General features: G+C 41.5%; 2 protein-coding genes across 6 annotated transcripts in view, besides 7 other annotated features; both read right to left on the bottom strand.

The window, feature by feature from the left end:
* The window catches only part of LEPR (leptin receptor), a 220,908-nt gene extending 200,105 nt beyond the window's left edge, over positions 1-20,803 (bottom strand). For 2 of the 3 annotated variants that reach the window (NM_001003679.3, NM_001003680.3), the window contains exons 1-2: positions 20,715-20,803; positions 16,077-16,152 (exon numbers count right to left, since the gene is read on the bottom strand). The gene's annotated coding sequence lies outside the window, so the exon portion shown is untranslated. The remainder of the gene's footprint in view (positions 1-16,076; positions 16,153-20,714) is intronic. The other variant, NM_002303.6, reaches the window with a different exon arrangement.
* Positions 635-929: a silencer, noted in NCBI's record as "tiled region #13002; K562 Repressive DNase matched - State 8:EnhW". NCBI's record gives its function as "represses a minimal TATA promoter and a strong SV40 promoter by Sharpr-MPRA in K562 cells {active_cell/tissue: K562}" and the evidence as "EXISTENCE:reporter gene assay evidence [ECO:0000049][PMID:27701403]".
* Positions 5,448-20,787, bottom strand: LEPROT (leptin receptor overlapping transcript). 3 transcript variants are annotated; one of them, NM_001198681.2, is made up of 5 exons: positions 20,715-20,787; positions 19,996-20,127; positions 16,077-16,152; positions 11,407-11,593; positions 5,448-9,652 (listed from the first exon to the last, which is right to left on the bottom strand). In NM_001198681.2, exons 2-5 carry the CDS (start codon positions 20,036-20,038, stop codon positions 9,536-9,538), a joined length of 423 nt encoding a protein of 140 aa, NP_001185610.1. In that variant the 5' UTR covers positions 20,039-20,127; positions 20,715-20,787; the 3' UTR covers positions 5,448-9,535. The 3 variants fall into 3 exon arrangements, with proteins under 3 accessions (NP_001185610.1, NP_059996.1, NP_001185612.1); NM_017526.5 differs by lacking the exon at positions 19,996-20,127; NM_001198683.2 differs by lacking the exons at positions 5,448-9,652; positions 11,407-11,593; positions 19,996-20,127 and adding an exon at positions 13,446-13,673.
* Positions 20,284-20,333: an enhancer, noted in NCBI's record as "active region_1144". NCBI's record gives its function as "activates an Ori minimal core promoter by ATAC-STARR-seq in GM12878 lymphoblastoid cells {active_cell/tissue: GM12878}" and the evidence as "EXISTENCE:reporter gene assay evidence [ECO:0000049][PMID:35858748]".
* Positions 20,407-20,940: an enhancer, noted in NCBI's record as "H3K27ac hESC enhancer chr1:65886198-65886731 (GRCh37/hg19 assembly coordinates)". NCBI's record gives its function as "activates a minimal SCP1, AML or CMV promoter by ChIP-STARR-seq in naive H9 embryonic stem cells {active_cell/tissue: H9 hESC(naive)}" and the evidence as "EXISTENCE:reporter gene assay evidence [ECO:0000049][PMID:30033119]".
* Positions 20,407-21,473: a biological region, named in NCBI's record as "H3K27ac hESC enhancers GRCh37_chr1:65885665-65886197 and GRCh37_chr1:65886198-65886731".
* Positions 20,704-21,203: a silencer, noted in NCBI's record as "silent region_972". NCBI's record gives its function as "represses an Ori minimal core promoter by ATAC-STARR-seq in GM12878 lymphoblastoid cells {active_cell/tissue: GM12878}" and the evidence as "EXISTENCE:reporter gene assay evidence [ECO:0000049][PMID:35858748]".
* Positions 20,941-21,473: an enhancer, noted in NCBI's record as "H3K27ac hESC enhancer chr1:65885665-65886197 (GRCh37/hg19 assembly coordinates)". NCBI's record gives its function as "activates a minimal SCP1, AML or CMV promoter by ChIP-STARR-seq in primed H9 embryonic stem cells {active_cell/tissue: H9 hESC(primed)}" and the evidence as "EXISTENCE:reporter gene assay evidence [ECO:0000049][PMID:30033119]".
* Positions 21,224-21,293: a silencer, noted in NCBI's record as "silent region_971". NCBI's record gives its function as "represses an Ori minimal core promoter by ATAC-STARR-seq in GM12878 lymphoblastoid cells {active_cell/tissue: GM12878}" and the evidence as "EXISTENCE:reporter gene assay evidence [ECO:0000049][PMID:35858748]".

The following is a 21,532-nucleotide window of genomic DNA, read 5'->3' as shown; positions in this document are numbered from 1 at the left end:
ACTTAGAAACCACTTTCCTTTTATTGATAGCTTAAACCTAAGGAAGTGTGAGTCCTGAAAGCAAATATGCCTAAATGGCACCAAAGTCAGCTCCTAGGGTCACCACCTGTATGTTTCAGGACTCTCTCCCTTGTCCCCCATCACTCTCCCCACCCCTTCTGCTAAATCAGATGTTAACATCCTCATCTGCAGGCCCCAGGGACAGACACTCAAGTGGTTATTGCTAAGGATGTGGCACACCAAGCTCAATGCTATTAGGACATAGTTTCAGCTATTTGGGGTTTACACAGCATTCTTTGCCAACTTCATTGAAAACATGTTTTCATGAGAATTCATCTCATTCTACCTACTGCTGGCTAAATTTATCTCCACAGAGTTTAACAACATGGAATGATTAATTAGGGACCAAGCTATTTCCTGAGTGCTTTGCACATAACTGTGATTCTGTGACTCTGTGATTCACTCTCGTTGCTTCAGCCATCTGTCCCTGAACAAAATGCATTTATTTATGTTTTCTGTGATTTGTTGTTCTCCTCTTTCAAAGACATAAACATGATTGATTTGGAAAAGCAAAATTGTTTTTTCCTCTCTTTATAAAATAGTTTTAATTAAAACACAGCTAGAGCAATCCGAATAAAACATAATCAGGCCACTCCTGCTCATATCTCTAGTGGCGTCTCATCTCTAAATGAATGCCGACGCCTTACAATGACCTGCTGGGCCCCATAGGATCCATCCACCCCTACACACACATTATCTTATCTCCCTCCACTCTCCCTGAAGGCTTCATGCCAGCTCACAGGTACGCTCCAGCTCAGGGCCGCTGCACTTGCTTATCCCTCTTTTTGAACCATCTTGCCCATTGCCGCCTCCATAACTGCCTCTACTTCCTTCAAACGTCATCTTCTAGGTAAGCCTTTCTTGGGCACTGTATCTTAAACAGAAGCCACCGTCACCCGTTCACGCCCACACGCACACTCACACATATTCTACATCCCTTTCTTCCTTTTTTTGCCTTAGCATTTCCACTAACATACCATCCATTTGACTTATTTGTGAAGTTTATTTTTTGCTTCCCTACCAAAAAAAAAAAAAGTAAGCACCATGGGGGCTGGGGGTTTTGTCTGTTTTATTTACTGTTCTATCTCCAGCACCTAGAATAATATAATTATGTTGAGCACATAATAGGTGCTCAACAAATATTTCTTGAAAGAATAAGTGAAAGAGTAGACCTAAAATTAAAAAGAATCGAAAGAGTAGACCTAAAAATAGGTCCCATCGTGTTGATTCCTTCTCATTATTCAATAGCTCTATTCAGCCACCAATCGTCTCTATCCACCCTATTTAAATAGCACCACTGTAAGTCATTCTCTATGCCTTTATCCTGATTTATTTCTTCATAGCATTCACTACTGTCAATTTTCTTTTTCTTTTTTTTTTTTTTTTTTTTTTTTGAGACAGAATCTCTCTTCCTCGCCCAGGCTGGAGTGCAGTGGTGCGATCTTGGCTCACTGCAACCTCCGCCTCCGGGTTCAAGTTAGTCTCCTGCCTCAGCCTCCTGAGTAGCTAGGAGCTGGGATTACAGGCACACGCCACTGCGCCCAGCTTTTTTTTTTTTTTTTTTTTGAGATGGAGTTTCACTCTTGTTGCCCAGGCTGGAGTGCAATGGCATGATCTCGGCTCACTGCAACCTCTGCCTTCAAGTGATTCCTGGGTTCAAGTGATTCTCCTGCCTCAGCCTCCTGAGTAGCTGGGATTACAGGCATCTGCCACCACACCCAGCTAATTTTTTGTATTTTTAGTAGAGACAGGGTTTCACCAGGTTGGCCAGGCTGGTCTTGAACTCCTGACCTCAGATGATCCACCTGCCTCAGCCTTCCAAAGTGCTGGGATTACAGGCATGAGCCATTGCACCCAGCCCAAATTTCACTATTGAATTATTTTTTACTTTAAAAATTATTTGTCTTGCCCATTTGAAGGTAAGCTCCATGAGGGCAAATAATTTGTCCTGTATCTCCTCAGCTTAAAATGTTTTTATTTTTTCCTTAACATCAAAAATCATTTGACCATATATTTTTGGGTCTATTTCTGAATTATTGATTCTATTCAATTGATTTATATGGGTGTCCTTTCTCCAATATCGCATTGTCTAATGTATAACTTTGTAATAAGTTAGAAATCAGGGAATATATTAATTTCTCCTAAAAATCTTACCGGGATTTTTACTGTGATTGCTTTCAATCTATAAATCATGTTGCGGAAAATTGATGTCTCAACAATACTGAGTCCAATTCACTGGAGGGATATACATCTGAAGATCCCACAAGCAATGGGAACTCATGTCCTATTGCCCAGCAGTACCCTGAAATGGTGACAAGAACTGCATGGGGAAGTAGCTTTATGATTTTAAGTCTCATCAGAGATGGCTTTGCACCAATATTTTAACCTGGTTAAAATATCTCTCAGTCCAAATAAAGAAATCCAAACCAGAATCAGTTTCACCTAGAAAATTAAACTCTTTTAATTGCTGATACTGCCCAGAAGTACATGAGGTTTAGCAGTTCTCTAAAAGCTTTTGAGCACCTGAATAATCACTTGGGTTATCTAAAATACAATGGGGTTTGTAATCTGACTGATTTGGCTTAGAATAAAAGAGCTCATAAAAATGGACTGCTTTCAGCAGTTTCCAACCTGCATGAGGATAAATTCAGATAATGAAGAAACACAGAGTAGAAAAAAAGAAAAAAGAAAAAGAAAATTTTCCTGACATTGTCTTAATTAGTCCTCAAAGTTAACAGTAGCTACAGTTCAGCTACTGCCACTTCATGAATCTATACCCACTGTATTAGGGGCCACTTTATTTACTCTCTAGCTCAACTGTCTTTTTTTTTTTTTTTTTTTTTTTTGAGACAGAGTCTCGCTCTGTCGCCAGGTTGGAGTGCAGTGGTGCAATCTTGGCTCACTGCAACCTCCGCCTACCAGGTTCAAGCAGTTCTCCTGCCTCATCCTCCTGAGTAGCTGGGACTACACGCGTGAGCCACCACGCCCTGCTAACTGTTGTATTTTTAGTAGAGACGGGGTTTCACCATGTTGGTCAGGATGGTCTTGATCTCTTGACCTCGTAATCTGCCCACCTCGGCCTCCCAAAGTGCTGGGATTACAGGCGTGAGCCACCGTGCCCGGCTGGTCTCTTCTTTATCGTGGCCATAACCTGGCCAGTGTTCCAGCTAGCACAACTTCATTTCCTAAATCAAGCTATTTTATTTATATTATTTATTTCTCAAGCAATAAATGCCAAACCTCAGTTGGAATATTTTTTGAAAAAAAAAAAAAAAAAAAAAGGCGGCTAGGAGCCATGGCCCATACCAGTAATCCCAGCATTTTGGGAGGCTGAGACAGGCAAGAAGATTGCTTGAGGCCAGGGTTGGAGAGCAGCCTGGTCAATGTAGGGAAACTTCATCTCTACAAAAAATAAATAACTTAGCCAGCTGCGGTGGCCCGTGCCTGTAATCCCAGCTACTCAGGAGGTAGAAGTGGGAGGAACCCTTGCGCTCAGGTTAAGGTTTGCAGTGAGCCATATCTTGCCACTGCACTCTAGCCTGGGCAACAGAAGGAGACCCTAAAATCCACATGGCTCTTTTCTTTGCCTCTTTTGGGTGAGGCTTTCATGGCCACCCTATCTAAAACCACAATGACCCAAATACTACTTATCCTCCTTCCCCACTATATTTTTTCCAGTAGCGCCTACCGTATCATATACTTTATTTACCTAGTTTTTTTCTACTTACACTGAAATATAAACTTTTTTTGGAGACGGGGTCTCCCTCTGTCGCCTAGGCTAGAGTGCAGTGGCGCGATCTCGGCTCACTGCAACCTCCGCCTTTCGGGTTCAGGATTCTCCTGCCTCAGCCTTTTGTGACCTTTTATGGCCTTTTGTGACTGGCTCTTTTCACTTCACATATTGTCTTCAAGATTCATCCACACTGTAGCAATGTTTCAGTACTTCATTCCTTTTTATGTCTGAAAAACATTCCATTGAATGGATATATCACATTATCCATTCATCAGTTAATGGACATTTGCATGTTTCCAGCAGAAGTACTAGCTACTTACGAGGTTGAGGCAGGAGGATAGCTTGAGCCCAGGGAGCCTGGGCAACATACTGAGATACCATCTCAAAATATATACATATATACATGATTTTATTAAAGAGCTGAGCAACTGTCAGTTCCACACCATGGAATCTTGAATAAATCAAGCCTAAGACTCACTGCCATTAATTTAATCAGGAATCCGATTAAAACCTGTGTTCAGAACTCACGTAACTCATTTCCATCAGTGGTTAAGTGGATTTTAACAGCAGCACTGTCAAGGAACCACAAATGGCAAGGCTGCAGCAGGGATGGTTGGAAGTACTGGAGAATTCTGGGTTTGTCAGATGAACAAGCATACAATTTTGAGGAGAAGGCTGTAAGAAATCATGAAACTTTACAGAGTGTGGTGATATAATTTGTCTCTCAACCACAGAGGAAATGAAAGTGTTGAGGCAGAGGCATTTATGCTTTAAATTGATAAGTGCAATGATTATCCAGCTAAAGTTGAACTGATGGTTTTATTATTTAATTATTCTGAGGGGAAAAATGAATGCACACACTTAAGTTAATATCTAGTCATTCATTCCGAAGTGTGTAAACACTTAGAATTATTCAATTTTGATAAAGATATAATCAAAAGTGAAGAGAGATTGTGCAGTCTCCAAGTGTGCTCTTCTCCAAATGAGCAATCTCAGGATTAAGACCACTTTGCCTATGTGCCTCGTATTGACCACAAATAAATGTTTCAAAATGGTCATCTATTAATTTTCCTTGGGAACTGACTTTTCTTATGGCCATTTTATAGTTATGTTGGTATTATCAAATTTTTATTTCTATTTCTATTAAAAGTTTAACTTTACACTTAGCTTGGCAATGCAAAGAAATAACTAGCTTGATTTCTTTACAATCTGGCTGCCTAAATCCACTAGTAAAACATCAGATCTTTCCCAAATGTTTTGTGCATAAGGAGGACATATTATTCCTTAAAGACTACTTTCTATTAGTGCATTCTTTTCTGTAGTGTGCAAAAAGACTCTTCAAAATATGTAGAGCACTTTTCTTAAGGTGTCAGGTTTTTTTCTTTTCCAATACAGCTTTTCCAATCTTCCATGTCCACCATGGGGAGTGTCAGCCACAGAAATTAAGGCCTGGATTCCTTCCAGTCAGCACAACATTCCTGAACTGTTTCTCTTCAACTACAGCAAGTACAGGCTTCAAACTGGTCAGATTCACATTAAGATTATACAGACAAAAACACTGGGAAAATTAACTTGCTGATCTCCTTTCCAAATGTAACGTACCGCAAAGTAAAATATAAACTTTTTCATTTAATAATGTACATAAAAGCCTTTGTTAAAATGTCAATAACAAGTTTTATTTACAAAGTAATCGTCCTCTCACATCACATTTGGGGTTACATGTATCACTGTTGTACGCTGGTAGCATGGCTATTTGAAAGATTATAATTTATGAGCTATTACTCAGTGGGATTTTTGCAATAAGGTACTTCATGAGACAAAATGGAAAAAGGAGAATTAAATTAAAATGCACAACTAATATTTATCTACTACAGACATAATATTTCTCAGTTGTGAACTAATTACTATGCTTGGAAAATGCTAGCATCCTCATAAATATTTTGGTTCTATTGGGATACAAAATCTGATTTCGCAAACTTTGCAAAGGCACATTTTGGCTGGGCACAGTGGCTCAGGCCTGTAATCCCAGCACTTTGGGAGGCAGAGGCGGGCGGATCATGAGGTCAGGAGATCGAGACCATCCTGGCTAACACGATGAAACCCGTCTTTACTAAAAATACAAAAAAATTAGCCAGGCGTGGTGGCGGGAGCCTGTAGTCCCAGCTCCTTGGGAGGCTGAGGCAGGAGAATGGCGTGAACCCGGGAGGCGGAGCTTGCAGTGAGCCAAGATCGCACCACTGCACTCCAGCCTGGGCAACAGAGCGAGACTCTGCCTCAAAAAAAAAAAAAAAAAAAGAAAAGAAAAGGCACATTTTGTGACACCACCTAAGCATTTCCCTGAGAACATAAAGAAGGTTATTAACATAATGAACTATTTCAGCCTTGAAAACAGTATTCATTGAGGAGATACCTCAGAGGTAAGGACTTCCTTAGGACAGTAAGAAAAATCTATGAGTTCTTAAGTGGAAGAAAAGAAACAACTATGAAAAGCAGGACCAGCTCAGAACTCCTCCTGAGGAAGAGATGAGGTATGACAGGATTTTCCCTGTCCCAAAATATTGCTATCCTTCTATAAGCTGCTGGAATCTTTCTTCATTCCGTTCTCCCATTCTCTGTGAATGAGAATCAGTGGGTTATGAGGCATTCTCTAAAAACGCAGGTGCAGCAGTCATGGGAATGGCAGTCGGCCCAATGCAGGTGTCAAAAGGAATTTCAGATGTGGAGAAGATAATCACAAGGCATTCTTTCTGTGATGAAGTGTGATCTGCTTTCTTCTCAGCACCACATGACATCAGCTGTACTTAGAGAACTGACTAATGGGAGGAGAAGGGTGGGTGACTCTGGAATATGAAGAACCTCAGGAGGGAGGATGGAGCCCAGTGGGAAGGTTCTCAGTTGGGAGAGGTGAACAAAACTCCCAGGAGTGTACCTGGATCTCAAGGGCATTAGGAGGTGAAAATGAGTGGAAAAATTAAAAGGAGAAAGACCTTGTTCTTAGGAAAAGGGGTGGAAAGTTGCACTGTCCTTCCTCCAAACTACTCACACTACCCTGTCTCAGAGACCCAAAACTCAGGCAGGCACCTTCAGTATCACAGGTTAGGTATATTAGAGTTGAACCTGTTGAGGGAGGCTTGGCCTGGGAACTCAATCACCAATTCATAGTATTGTTTCTGTGGAAAAGTGTCTCAAAGTCTGCTTGTAACCCACTTGTTTGAAACATGATAAAGAATCCCTTCATAAGATTATTTACTTGTGGCCAATTTTGGAAGTGCAATCTCAGTTTTCGACTATAGTCACTATGCTCTGAATCTCCAAATATATTGTACAATATATAAAAAAAGAGCCTTTTATAAGGAAAAAAATGTCCAACATTTGTGTCACCATGATCAAACTTTTGTATTATATATTCAGATATAGCAATATTTCCTATTAATATTTACTGTTTAAATGATATTTAGGCACTGCAGAATAGCTCTCTTTTCAGACATAGAGCAAATCTAATAATCTATCACTTCAAATACTCTATATGCAAGTACTTTATATCAATCTAAAGATACAATCAAGAGGTAATGCTTTAAGGCTACATATGAAGGCTACCTTGGTTATTGAAAATGTGTATAAGCAACAAAAACACTTTTGCAAAATGTAGTAGAAATGAATCATTATTGCCATCTTAGAAAGAAAAGCTATTGCACACCAACTAGACATTCAAGATGGTATCCTAAAACTTATTGCTACTGTTCTGTTAGGACAGATTATTGCTCAAAACTGCCCATTTTAAAACATCAAGAAATTCTCTCATTTTTGTTATCTTTTCAGGCAAGGCAACATCACAAAAAAATTTTAAAGTTAAACTTTTAAAGTTAAAAGTGAAATTTATTACAATACAATAAATGCAAGTGTCATTATTAAAAATGCCGGTTAAAATTATAAAGTATCTAAATAATTTTTCTAATATAAATATTGGAAATGACAACTTTAACAATTCTATATGTACACAGGACACTGAAAACATAAAATCATGAACAAGGCCAAAAAATAACGTTGCACATTAACCCTTTAGTTATTACTTTCTATTTTCCAGTCCCAGCATCATACCTGCTAATTACTCAGATCACAAGCCTCAAGGATTAAGTGTTTTGAATGTATTTCAGTTTCATACTTTAACAATGCTTAAAGACTATTGGTTGTATTCTGATCAAATGGTTCTCCTTCCCATATTTCCCTTTCTCAATAGATCTTAGACAAAAAGGTGAGCAGGGAAAACTGTGATTACAGGATCCAACATGACAGGTATACCCAATGATTCATTTAAGGGTGGCATAAAGTTATATAGAAAAGACCTACAGGACGGAAGACAAGTACATCAACACGTAGTGAAATTAAGCAGTTCACCCACTGCGTGCTTACATGGCTCCTATATCTCTTCGGGAAGAAGCCAGAGCCGTAGAGAAGTCAGGGCAAACCAGAACTGTTGAGGAGTAGGGGTGGGGGGCAGAGGGAAGGAGCTGGGGAGAAGTGCCAGATCATAAAGGAAATGTAAAAGAGTTACCTATCTGTTCTCCCCCTCCTGCTAACGCAGGGGCTGGCTCGAGCCCAGCCTCCCTGCCCGCATCTCAGTGGAGCTCTTCCCCCAGCATTGTCTTTCAGATGAAAAGATACATCTGTTCCCCACTGAGATGTTTTTTTGGGGGAGAGAGTATGTTTTGTTTTTTATTTTGATTATATATTGACAAATTATTGTATATTTTTATAGGGTACAATACGGTTTTATGATTTTTGAATATAAGGTGGAATGATTACACTAATTAACATATGATCTCAAATATTTAACTTTTTTATGAGAACATTAGAAATTTACTCTCTTAGCAATATTGAAATATACATTCAATTATTCCTATATTTAGCATGCTGTGCAAGTGATCTTTAAAAAAAAATCACACTTATTCCTCCTAACTGAGGCTTTGTACCCTTTGACTGTCTCCCAATTCTGAGAACACTTTTCATAAATTTGAGGAACTGCCTAAATATTATAGGCTTGAACATCTGAACTTGTCCTCAGCATGAAAGCAGGTGAGACTTTTTTTTTTTTTTTAAACAAATGAGCAGGTAACACCCAGAGAGGTTAAGTGGTTTAGCCACTGGAAAGATAAGGAAGTTGGGTGTGATGTTTACTTCTCTATGATGATGCTTCTCAAACTTTCATGTGCATACAACTCCTTTGGATCTCATCAAAATGTCCTGGGTCCAGAGTGGGGCTTCAGATTCTGCATTTCTAATAAGGCTCTAGGAAATGTTGAGGCTCTTGGTCTGTGGGCCACACTTTTAATAGCATGGACTACAACACAAAGAGGGATCCACCCCGGCCTTCCTGGGTCATGAGAGGCCTGCTTCAGCGTTATCTGCCTCTCCAAGCACATCCCCAAGCAAAAGGTTTCGATGCACTGCATAAGGTGGCAGCTGCCTACAAGACTGCGTTAATATATTTTCTGAGAGCACCGTGACTACATGAACAGCCAAACAAGTAACATAATTTGAGTAACATAATCTAAATTTGACAGGTCTATTTGCTGAGAATAAAACTCATCTCCTACTTATGAAGTCTTTCTTAAAGTGAACATGATATATAAAGGTATTAAAAAACCCAGCATATTAAATTTCATAGTAAAATGCCGCATGTGCACATGTATACAGATAGTATGAGTTCTAAGAAATTCAATGCACTGTAATCAGAATAAAGTGCTACCACTGCTCCCAGCTAAAATCATCTCCTCTTCCAAATATAAGGAAAAACCCTTGAATTGTAAGGAAAATGACTGCATTGCCTGCCAACACAAGGCCGCAGGCTCCCCATTTGATCTGAAAGACAAGAAAAGAAGGATTAAATCCTTACTTCCTTCATATTGTACTCTTTGCAATCCCTATTATTTTCTGCATTAGAAACATCCAATGAAATGTTACACAAAGCTGCTAAAAGGCTTAATAATGTAACAGGAGACAATGAACTGTTCAGTAATGAGTCTAATTACTTCTGTGATGCTTGTTAATTAAGTCTGGTATCATCCTTAACATGTTCCCAATTAGACATATTTCTCTACTTGTTTTTAATTGACAATGATTGCCTTAAGTAAAACTCAAGTGGTAAGATTATAAATAGTGCAATTACAATATTGGGTACTGAAAGTTCTGCACACATCAACTTCTTTCATGGAAAATAAAAATTGTAGAGTTATAAATTTGTGTGTTTCTTTTCTAGGCAAGAAAAGACTTTAAATAATAGTCTTCATACAACTGAAAACTGCTTTCCAGCTTAGTAGATGGTTTGTAGATGGTTTTACAGAAGCACATTTGGGGGTGAGAGTACCCTCTAGTGGGCATTTTTTGTTTTACTTTAAGCAAGAGAAACATCAATGAAAGTTTCTTCACAAAATATGATGGCAGTATTGAAAGGAAAAAATATAAATATTTACTGCAGCGCTTAAGAAGGGCTGGTCTAAAGCACAAGAAAAATAAAGTCATGACAATCTTGTTGTATTCAAAAACCTTCAATCTTTCCCCATTATCTAGACAAAGATCAAACTGGCATGGGGTTCAAGACCATTGCTAATCAGGTTTCACAACCCTTCCAGCCTTAACCTCAACAACTTTCTTTTAGCTCTACCACACTGGATTCTTCTTTATTCTATATACTGCATTCTTACACTTGAATGTCATTCCATACAACAGCCATCCTACCTCAATACAAATGCTATTTATCCTTAGAGGCCCATATCAAATGCCAGTCGGAATTTCTCTCTTCTTGGTGCCCCTATGGCATTCTGATCATGCTTCAACCGTCTCACTTAGTACACTTATAGTATACTTACCCAGCAAGCTAGTTTCTGTGTTCCTCAGGAGCAGAGACAGTACCTATTTCTTATTTCTGGTGTTTTACAAGTAGCAGTTGTTGCAAAGATATTTATTGAATGAACAAGACTTGCGCTTATCTGATATTCAATGCCTCAAATAAGAGTTTCATAAAATTAAAATAGAACGTAATTGGAGGGAATAAAATCAAATAGTAGGAAAGACAGTGAATAGCAAATAATTGAATAAATTATACCTACAATGTGTACTCTGAAGACAAAAAGAAAGTTTTTGTCTTGGAAGTGAAGATGTCAACTTATTCACTGCATTTTCTGGAAGCTACACAGTTGTCCCTCAACATATACCTATTATACTGAGTTGAGAGTTGAGTCCATGATCCCATTTGCAGGAGAAGAATTTGAAATATCTTCATCTTGCAACTAGAAAAGTACTGCTAGCATAGTATCTGTGGATTACTGTAAGATTTAAGAGGCAGGAATTTAAGAACAATTCCAGAGAATAGCTTAAAGTAGAAAAAGTAAGAAATCATATCGTCTGGCTAAAAGTTGTAAGAGAAATAAAGAAAGCACTCTGAAGGCATGGCCGAACTACTGTTAGGCAGGTCTAAAGTAGAGGAACAGAGAAACTAAAAACACACGGCCTTGAGTATAAAGCCTAAGTAATGAGCATGAAATGGAGGTCCCAGACACAGGCCTCTGAAGTAAACTCAGCAACGGTTGGGCAAAACAATAGAAAATAAAACTTACCACAGCCACACGAGCAAGAATAACAGGAAATCCAAAGGCAGAAACAACAATTCCAGTAGTGAAGAAATATGCCAGTTCCCGACAGGCACTACTGGTTGCATCTGAGTCATAGGTGACTCTTTTGGCAATGAAATGGGGGATGGGGGAGATGGCGTGGAAAATCAGGACGAATAAGGGCCAGTAAACGCTGTCAGTTGGACCCAGGCAAAATCCAAAAAGAAAAGTAACAGTTACATTTTAAATGAAAGACATACTACTATTTCAAAATCATTGCTATTTTAAATGTTTAGGTCAAAAAATTAATTAATTGTGAATATTAGAACATAAGATGATTTCTACCAGGGATAGATAAGTAGTGATAATTTTAAAATTACTATGTAGGTAGCTTATATTGTGTTAAGAAGCCACTATATAATATATACCCTAGAAACTTTACTGTTTTCTGTACCACTGAGCCACAATTTCTTTAAAGACAGAATTTTAACTTGGTCATTTCTGCCTTCCCTATAGAACATAGTAGAGTGTCTTGCAAAAGCTAGTTCGGTAAAGATCTTTTGAGTGCACGCATGCTTGAAACCTTTTAAGAGCTTAGAATAAACCCTAAATTCCTTGCCCTAGCCTACAAAGCCTTTATGGTCTGGTATTATCTACTTCTTCCATTCATTTTGTACTCTTTTCCCTTCATTTGCTTAATCTGTAGCCACACCAGCCTTTTTTCTGTCCCTTGAACACTCTTGAGCTCATAGCTGTTATCCTGGGGCCTTTGCGCTAGCTGTGCCCCCTGCTTGCAATGTCCTTCCCCATGATCTTCTCATTGGCTGACTCCTTCATACCATGTGATCTAAACTGACAGATTCCTTTCTAAAAGCAGAACTTTCCCTGGTCATCTATTCTAATGTACCCCAGGTCACCCTCGAACATACCACCCTCTTTGAACTTTCTGCACAACACTTATTCCCATCTGATAGATTAGTCTTGATCAAACGCCATTTATCTCCAGGGCCTAGAATGATGTACTCCATTTATACTTGTTAAATGAATAAAATAATAAATAAATTTTAAGTACGGAAGGCATGAAAATAAATATGCTCACTAGTGAAAAGCTTAGATGTACTTTGATCTTCATTATAAGAGCTCACAATTAATAGTGTAATGCAAAAACAAAACAAAACTGTTTTCCTCCCAAATTTCAACATTTTGCAATTATAAAAAAAAAATTGCCATCTGGTTTCCAACAGTATTTTCTCTATCAGTACTTCAAAAATAATCTTTTTTTCTCCATCAGACATTTCTTATGCTTCATTTCTTAAGAAAAAAAAAGTCTCTGCTCATTTTTATATATACACTACAATAATTCATATCACCACAATACTGTAATCACACAGATACGCCCAGACAGCACCTACAAGCAGGAGTTGGGATGAAGCCACACTAATGAAAGCCTCCCATTCCAGCCACAGATCTAGGCAACCAAAAGGCAAGAAGGGAATGTGTCCTTCAAGAGGACTCAGGATGGAAACAGTGGATTTGGACCCCTGATTTTAAACTAGAGGGATGATAGTATGTTTCAAGAATCACCAAACAATATTGTGGGAAGTAGCCCTTAGACATTCTCTACTTCAAAGCCCTTCTTTCAACAGTGAGAAAGGAGACACAGAGAGGGGAAGGGGTTTGGAATAGATATGTCACCTTACATATCCACAGCCAAGAACTCTTAATTTTTCCTGGAATACAGTGACAGTTTTGTGAAAAACAATCTGACTCTATGTTTTCATTCATAGTAAGCCACCGATATCCAACTAAGAGAAATATTAATGTACAAGAAACCTTGTTTATATATAAAATGTAAATATTAAATATATACAATTCAATAAATACATAGGCCAGGGGTGGGCCAACTTTTTCTATAAAGGGCCAAAGAGTAAATAACGAGGATCTGCAAGCCATAAAGACTATCTCAACTACTCAACTCTGCCAAAGATAATTGGCAGAGCAATGCAAAAGCAGCCAAAGATAATTCATAAACAAATGAGCATGGCTGTATTTCAATAAAACCTTTATTACAAAAACAGGTAGCAGGTTATATGTGGCAGTTTGCTGACTTCCAATATAGATGATAATCCTGGTTCACTATCAAGATACAGCTTTGGGAGGCCAAGGCAGGAGGATGACTTGAGGCCAGGAGTTCAAGACCAGCCTGAGCAACACAGAGAGACTCGGTCTCTACAAAAACTTCTAAAAAAAATCAGCTGGGTGTTGTGGCATCTCTAAAAAACAAAAAATTAAAATAAAGATAGAAAACAAACTTATTTGTAGTAGCAGTAATGAGTCATTTTCTTACCTTACAAAGACAGTGTATCACAGAGAATTAAAACTCCTAGATTTACAGTTGGTTGTGGAATAGTGGAAAAACGTTTGGTCAAGGGCGTCAGAACATGAGCTCCATTTCCATGTCTGCCATTTTAATTTTTTTTCTACTTTTTTATTTAAGAGACAAAGTCTCACTCTGTCGCCCAGGCTGGACTGCAGTGGTGTGATCACAGCTCACTGCAGCCTCCAACCCCTGGGCTCAACCAATCTTCCCACCTCAGCCTCCCAACCCTGCTACAGGCACCATGCCTGGCTTATTTTAGTTTTTTGTAGAATGGGGTCTCACTTTGTTGCCCAGACTGGTCTCAAACTCCTGGCTTCAAGCAATCCTCCTACCGTTGCCTCCCAAAGTGCTGGGATTATAGGCATGAGCCACCACGGCCGGGCTCTGTCACTTACTGCTGTTCAATCTGGGTAAGTCTTTAACTACCCTGGGCTTTGGTTTCCCAGCGAGAAATGAGGATAATAATACCGTATTACATTCCAAAAGCTAGAATAAAGTAATTGCTGTGAAGGCTCTAAACAAATATAAGTGACCGCTTATATCTGGATCCCTCTTGGGTTTAAACAATTTCTGTAATAGTTGGCCAGGACTGCGGTGATGGATTTGAATTCATCACTGTCATAATAACTCACTTCAATAGGTCTTAACCACATCATCATCATCTTTTTTTTTTTTTTGGAGACAAAGTCTTGCTCTGTCGCCAGGCTAGAGTGCAGTGGCACGATCTTGGCTCACTACAACCTCCACCTCCTGTGTTCAAGCAATTCTCCTGCCTCAGCCTCCTAAGTAGCTGGGAATACAGGCGTGTGCCACCACGCCCAGCTAATTTTTTGTATTTTTAGTAGAGATGGGGTTTCACCATGTTGCCTAGGATGGTCTCGATCTCTTGACCTCGTGATCTGCCCGCCTCAGCCTCCCAAAGTGCTGGGATTACAGGCGTGAGCCATGGTGCCTGGCCTAATCACATCATCTTCTATCTAGTTGTTCAAGCCAATCACCTGGGAGACATCTAAGAACTCTCCCTCCTTGTTGAATCCTGACATCGATGAACAAAACCTGTTGGTTGGTTTGGTTTCCTAACTCACTCTCCTTTTCTTTCCATTCCTACTGCCCCAGCCCTCAATTTTGCTTGATTTATGATAGTAGTCCCCTACTATTCTCCCTGACTGCAGTCTCAGCTCTTTCCTATCTAGTCTCACGTTATGGCAAGAATGACATTTTAACATAACCCCCTCCTCCAAACCCATTCTCAAGATATTTTCCCAGGTTCTATTGTCTGATGTATAAAATGGAACCTCCTCTACACGGCAGGCATATAGAGCCCTAAGTGCTGACTTTTACACTCTTGACTAACCCTTCTTTTGCCACTCCACTACAATTTATGCTGTACCATAATGTACCATGTGTGGTTTCCTGAAAAGGCTATATACACTTTCATGTCTCCGGGCCTTAGCATTCAGCTTTCCTGGTGCCTAAAGTGCTTTTTCCCTAGAGATCTGTATGGCCTGCTTGCTGATTTTCTTGACATTTCTTCTCACTTTTTACCTCCTCTGAGAGGCCCTCCCTGACCACTGTCTTCCCAGCTTCTGTGCTCTTCATCTTTTGTACCATTTCTACCTCTGACAGTATGCATACTTTTGTTGTTTACTGTCCGTCTCCCCCACTGAAACACAAACTCTGAGAGAGCAGGACCTTTGTTTTCTTATGTCTTAATCCCTAGTTCCCATAACAGTAGCTGGCACATGGGAAGCATTCAACCAACAATGGTTGAATGAAAAAATGTGTAGAATGTTCCCTCTGCCTGGAATGTCCTCCCCTGACTCATCACCCTGAAAAACTCTTATTCATCCACCTAGTCTTGGCTCAGATACAACCTCTGCCATGCAGCCTTCCCTGACTGTCCCACTGAAACTCAGGTGCACTTTATCCGAGCTCCAGCGTACTGTGCTGGCATCTCCACTGCAGCTGCCAGATTACTGACTAGACCGTTTGCCTGTCTCTCACTCACAACTAGAACTTTACCTCCTCTTTGAGGACAGGACTCTCTCTTCATTTGTGTGTCCCCAGCTAGTCCAGAGTAGGTGTTAAACAAATGCTTATGGAATGAATACATCAATTTTTAACAGAGCCCTCTGCAAAAGTACACCTGACCCACAAAGGGACTGTGTTCATAAACTGGGCTCCACTAACTCACTGGTTAGAACTTGGTGCTAAATTGACCGAACTCTCTAACACCCATACTAATAGTGACAAAGACACAGAAAGAGGAATAGTTCTTTTTGAAATGATAACTTACCCATAATCCTCTAAGGCACATCCCAGCATAAGAAAAGTCAGTCCAATAGCCCCACTGAAGGATAATGCCACGAGAGCTGTGAAAAATAAAGCCAAAAGTTAAAGTTCCCACAGTAGAGGTTGTCAGGCACTAGAGGGTTTGGGGAAATGGGGAGTGACTTCTAATAGGTCCAGAGTTTCTTTGGCGGATGAGTAAATTTTCTGGAATTAGATAGTAGTGATGGCTGCATAACCTTCTGAATATACTAAAAACCATGAAATCTTACACTTTAAGAATGTTAATTTTATGGTATGTGAATCATTTATCAATAAAAACATTTACTAAAATAAAAAAGAAAGAAAAAAAGGTCCCAAATTCAAGCAAATGTAGCAATTTACTCATTTTATTGAGGTTACATTTGACCCGTTACAGACTGCATTATGTGTGTCCCTTTCAAATTCACATGTTGAAACCTTCCCGGCTCCATCCCTCTCACCGTGAGATGCTATCAGGAGGTGGACCTTTGGGAGATAATTAGGTTCAGATGAGGTCATGAGGGTGGGGTCTCCACGATGGGATGAGTGCCCTTATAAGAAGAGAGAAAGTAGAGCACACACTCTCTCTGTGTTTCTCTCCCTCTGTTCTCCAATGTGAGAGCAGAAAGCAGGCCTGCAAACCAGGAAGCTGGCTCTCACCAGACACCAGATCTGACTGCACCACAATTTTGGACTTCCCAGTCTTCAGAACTGTGGAAACTAAATGTTTGTTGTTTAAGCCACCCAGTCTAAAATATATTTCTTATAGTAGCCCAAACTGATTAAGACAATGACCCATGTCTGCCACCTTGAAATCATAAAGTATACAAAGGTCTCAAGTAATTCCAGTACCTAACCCCTATCCAATGGATGAATTCCCTCTGTATTTGTCACCAGAGGGCAGCCAGTTGGTCCACATAACTCCAGTGAAGGAAAACTCACTACCTCCCAAGGCAAGTCATTTAATTCCAACAGCTTCTAAATGTTGAAAGCCCTCCTTCTTTAAATTATATCCAGAACTGCCTCCCTGTAATATATACCTTTGATCATTTTGCCTCCCCAAACCACAGTACTGCAAGTATTTGAAGATTGTTTTCATGTCTTTGTAGGAAACAATTCCCAACTAGTGTGCACTGAATAAAATATGTATTCCCTGTATCTATTGGACACTAGTCTCTGCGGGAGTAGGAACGTATTTGCCCTTGTTGTGCTGCTGAGTGAGAAACAGAGTATCAAGGTTGTTACAAAATCTTGAGCTCTGAGTCACAAACATGAGTCAAATCTTAACTCTGCCACCATCTGGTCTTATGACTTTGGGTAGAAGCTAATCCTCTGAACCTGATTTCTCACCTGTAAAATGGAAATAATGGTGCCACCTTATTGAGCTTATGGGAATTAAATGAGATAATCTATGTAAAGTGCTTGGCAAAAGGAGGTAGCCAAATAAATGCTGACTGACTCAGGTATCTACTCATTTTAGCAATGTTCTTTGATAAAGGTAGAAATCAAAAGCATAGGAGACTATCTTATCCAAATTTTCTTCTGAAAAAAGTCCATAATACTCATAATTAGTATTAAACTAATTAATTAAGCCAATGAACATTTTTGATTGCTTCCTTTTACTTGAGAGAAGATTTAGAGAGACTCTTTAATAGGAAGGTGCCAAAGTGCTTTTTAAAAAACATCTGAAAGTATACACATGTTAAGGGACAAAGAAACACTGTCAATTTTAACATATCTTTTTACATTTCCACTCTTTAATGGAAAATGCCCATGTGTGGATGGAAAGCAAATACCACATACTATTTCATTCAGATGATCTTTTCCCAGCAGGCTTTGCTCCTCTCCTCTGTGCCTGACCATCGGCAGTACCCCCTCCTCCATGAGGCCTGTCAAAGCTAGGTACTGCAGACCTCTTCCTTCTGTTCTGATACCAGTTTCTCAACGTTCACAACCATCTTTCTGTTTGATTCTTTTTGGTCTTTTTTTTCCTCTTTTTTCAGGAATCACATCCTCTGAATCTCTTAAAGTTGGAGTTGACCAAAAATCCAACCCCATCTCTCTTTTCACTCCACGCACTCCTGCTGAAAACTTATGTTCAACCCAAAGCTCCTACTACCACAAGGGCCCGGCCGCAACTGATGCTCCAGCCCAGAGTAGGTCCTAAAGAACTAGGCCTGTACTTCCACCTCCAGTCTGGACTTCTCTGCCTTGACCGCCAACAAGAACCTCAAATTCAACATGTGTAACACGTGTAAAACCAAACCACTATCCCTACACTTTAAAGGTCCTATCTTAGAGGACTGACACCATGATTGCATTCCACCTTCCAATGAATCAGTAGGTCAAGGTGACTCAATCTCCCAGACTTCTTAAACTCTCTGCTACAGCCCTGGTGCAGGCCCTTAACCTCTTATTCCTGCCTCTGTGACTCTTCCAATCCATCCTCTACACAGCAGACAGTGATCTTTCAACTATATATATCACCGCTGCCATCCCTTTGCGGTTGCTTCCACAGCCTACAAGTTGTTCTGGCACGGAGGCTCACCATCGCCTGACTCACTCCTAACTGCCTGTCCAGCCAGCTTCAACCCTCACCACTAAGTTCTGGTCTTACTAATGTAGCTTAAGTACCTGAAGAGAAGAAGGCATGTTGTTTCATAAGCCCTGCGCCATGTCACGTGCTGTCCTCCCCACTTGGGATATACTCCACCTTCACTCCATGCCTTGCCAAGGGAAGCCACATTGATCCCTTCAGATTCAGTTCAAGCATCGCCTCTTCTGTGAAAACAGTCCTTTCTCTGGAGCAGGGGAATCAATCCCACCTGCATCAGCTTCCTAGGGCTGCCGTTACAAAGTACCACAAACTGGATGGCTGAGAACAACAGAAATTTATCTTCTGACAGTTCTGGAGGCTGGACTTCTGAAATCAAGGTGTCAGCAGCGCCACCACACTCCCTCTGAAGGCTGTAGGGAAGCACCCTTCCTTGCCTCTTCCTAACACTCAGTGGTTGCCAGCATGGTTGCCAACAATCTTTGGTGCTCCTGACTTTGTAGCTGCATCACTCCAATTTCTGTCTCCGTCTTCCCATGGTATTCTCCCTGTATGTCTCTATGTCTAAATTCCCCTCTTCTTATAAGGACACCAGTCATTGGATTAGGGCCCACCTTAAACCAGTTATCATTTTAATTTGATTATATCTGCAAAGATACTACTTCCAAATAAGATCACATTCACAGGTACCAGGGAATTAGAGCTTGAACACATCTTTTTGGAGGACAAAATCCAACCCACCATCTGTTCTCCCACCGCATCTGAGCCCAACATAAACACTGACATAGTAATATAATTATTTCCAGCTCTGTCACCCACCAATAACTTCTCATTTATCTTTGTATCCTAAGTCTCTGGCATACAGTAGTTCCTCAATAAAAGTTGAACAATCTGTAAAATGCTTCCTTCCCTTAGTCCGTTTCCATTTCAGACTTCCTTTTTTTTCACTACATCACAATTTTCTAACACATTCACACATAAACGTGATCATGATTTGGTAGTTTCTGATCATGTGTAGTACTGAGACACTACTTTTCATCTGTTTTCGGCATTGGCTTCAAATGGATATATAACACAGTCGACACTCTCCAAGTAAACCATGTTTACTAAACTGATATTAAGTATAAAAGTCAGCCAGAAATAACGATAAAATGTCTGCTGCTAACAGCTCACATACTCGGATAAATTCATAGTGAACAGAGGCGTACTCGTATATATACTATCTACATGTTTATAGCAGATGTTAACTGGGGATATCTTTGGGTGCAAATTTCAAGGATGATATAAAAGCCAATATAAAAACAAGTCATGCTACTCTATTCGACAGATTAGAAATGGAATGTTTTCCTACCAAAATACAGGAAGCCTTGCAAAAAACCTTTTCCGTCTCGCATTGCTCTGAAGCCATACAGATAAGGGACGCGGTGTTTTTACCAACTGCCCCATGCAAAAAACACATACTACACACACACTGGTTTCTTCTCTGTCCATAAACAGAGAAAACACCGAAGAAAGCAGTATTAAAATTACACGTAATCTACTCTCCACGACTGCGAGAAACACCGTCTTTCTGGGTGCTTTCCATTGACACCCGCCCGCGGTCAACTCTGCCCAGTTGGAAAAATCATTAGGAAAAAGAGGATTAAGTTTCCCAATGCTAAGAACGCTGGAGACAAAGGGTCCTTTGTGGCAAATAGGAAACTGCGGAGGGGCAGAAAACCAGAAGAAAGGCGTTAGGGTGGCGTCAAGAAGTGGAAACCTTGTTTAAAAACTCAGGAGAGGTGGAGGGCGCCGCTCTCGCCGAGGGCTCAGGCTGGGGAGGGGTCTGGTGCCGCCACTGGAGAGCAGGAAGGCCAGCGGCCTTGCAAAAAGGGCCAAGGCTCCCCCGAAACGCCGCTCCACCCACACCCCAAGGGACGAAGGGAGCGGTCGATCGCCTCCCGAACCGGAGAGGCGGGAAGGGTGGTGAGGCCGTTCCCCAACGGCGCGCGGAAGGCGCAGCCCCAGGCTTGACCGGAACGGAGGTGGCAACCCCACCACACGACAAGCGAGCCGGGGACCGCGATGTACCTTTAACGCCCGCCATGTCTCCCGAACTGGGGCCGCGGCTGCTTCCGGCTTCCTGCCACGGCCCGGGCAGCCTGCCCAAGCCAGACCGGGAGTCGCCCCGCGGATCCCGAGCCCGCCCCGGCCACGCAGAGCCCCGCCCCCGCCGGTGCAGAACTCCGACCTTAGCTCGCAAACGCGGCGCCTGCTGCTCCAGACCCCGCCCCCACCACTCACAACCCCGCCCCCGCCGGTGCAGAACCCCGCCCCCAGCTCGCAGAGGCCGCGCCTGATAGTTCAGACCCGGCCTCGCTACTCAGAGCCCCGCCCCTGACAGTACAGAGCTCCTCCCCTACCTCGCGGAGGCAGCGCCTGCGGCTCCAGACCTCGCTACCGCTACTCGAAGCCCCGCCCCAGACAATGCAGAGCTCCTCCCCTAGCTCGCGGAGGCCTCCCCTGCTGGTCCCGCCCCAGCCCTCACCGGCCCAGAATTCCGCCCCCAACTCTCAGAGGCCGTCCCTGCTGGTCCCGACCCCGCCCCCGCCACCCAGAACTCCGCTCCTGCCAGTCTAGAACTCCGCCCCCAGCTCGCAGAGTCCATCTCCAGCCCTAAGGTCCCACCTGGTCCCACAGAGCTTTCCCAGAGTAACCCCAACCCAGTGCCCTGGGCCCTCCTCCTAGATCCTGAGCCCTCCAAGTAATCCTCAAGCCCGTTCAATGTGGGTTGGGACCTTGGCTCCGCCCCGACCGCGGGCCCAGAGTCTCTCCCCGGCCTCTCAGAACGCAGTGCACGCAGCGGGGGATCCTCCCTGAGCCTTCCTGAGAACGGAGATGTAGAAAGT

This window comes from Homo sapiens, chromosome 1 (genome assembly GCF_000001405.40).
Source record: "Homo sapiens chromosome 1, GRCh38.p14 Primary Assembly".
NCBI lineage: Eukaryota > Metazoa > Chordata > Mammalia > Primates > Hominidae > Homo > Homo sapiens.
The sequence above is the reverse complement of the archived record's forward strand: the minus strand, read 5'-3'. Positions and strand labels throughout refer to the sequence as shown.

Excerpts from the sequence above, each read along its gene's own strand:
- LEPROT (NM_001198681.2), bottom strand. The coding sequence starts at position 20,038 with ATGCGAGACGGAAAAGGTTTTTTGCAAGGCTTCCTGTATTTTG. Across the intron at positions 16,153-19,995 it reads GCAAGGCTTCCTGTATTTTG|CTCTCGTGGCATTATCCTTC; the intron begins GTAGGAAAACAT and ends TATTTTTCACAG. Across the intron at positions 11,594-16,076 it reads TGTGCCTTAGAGGATTATGG|CGTTTACTGGCCCTTATTCG; the intron begins GTAAGTTATCAT and ends TCCAACTGACAG.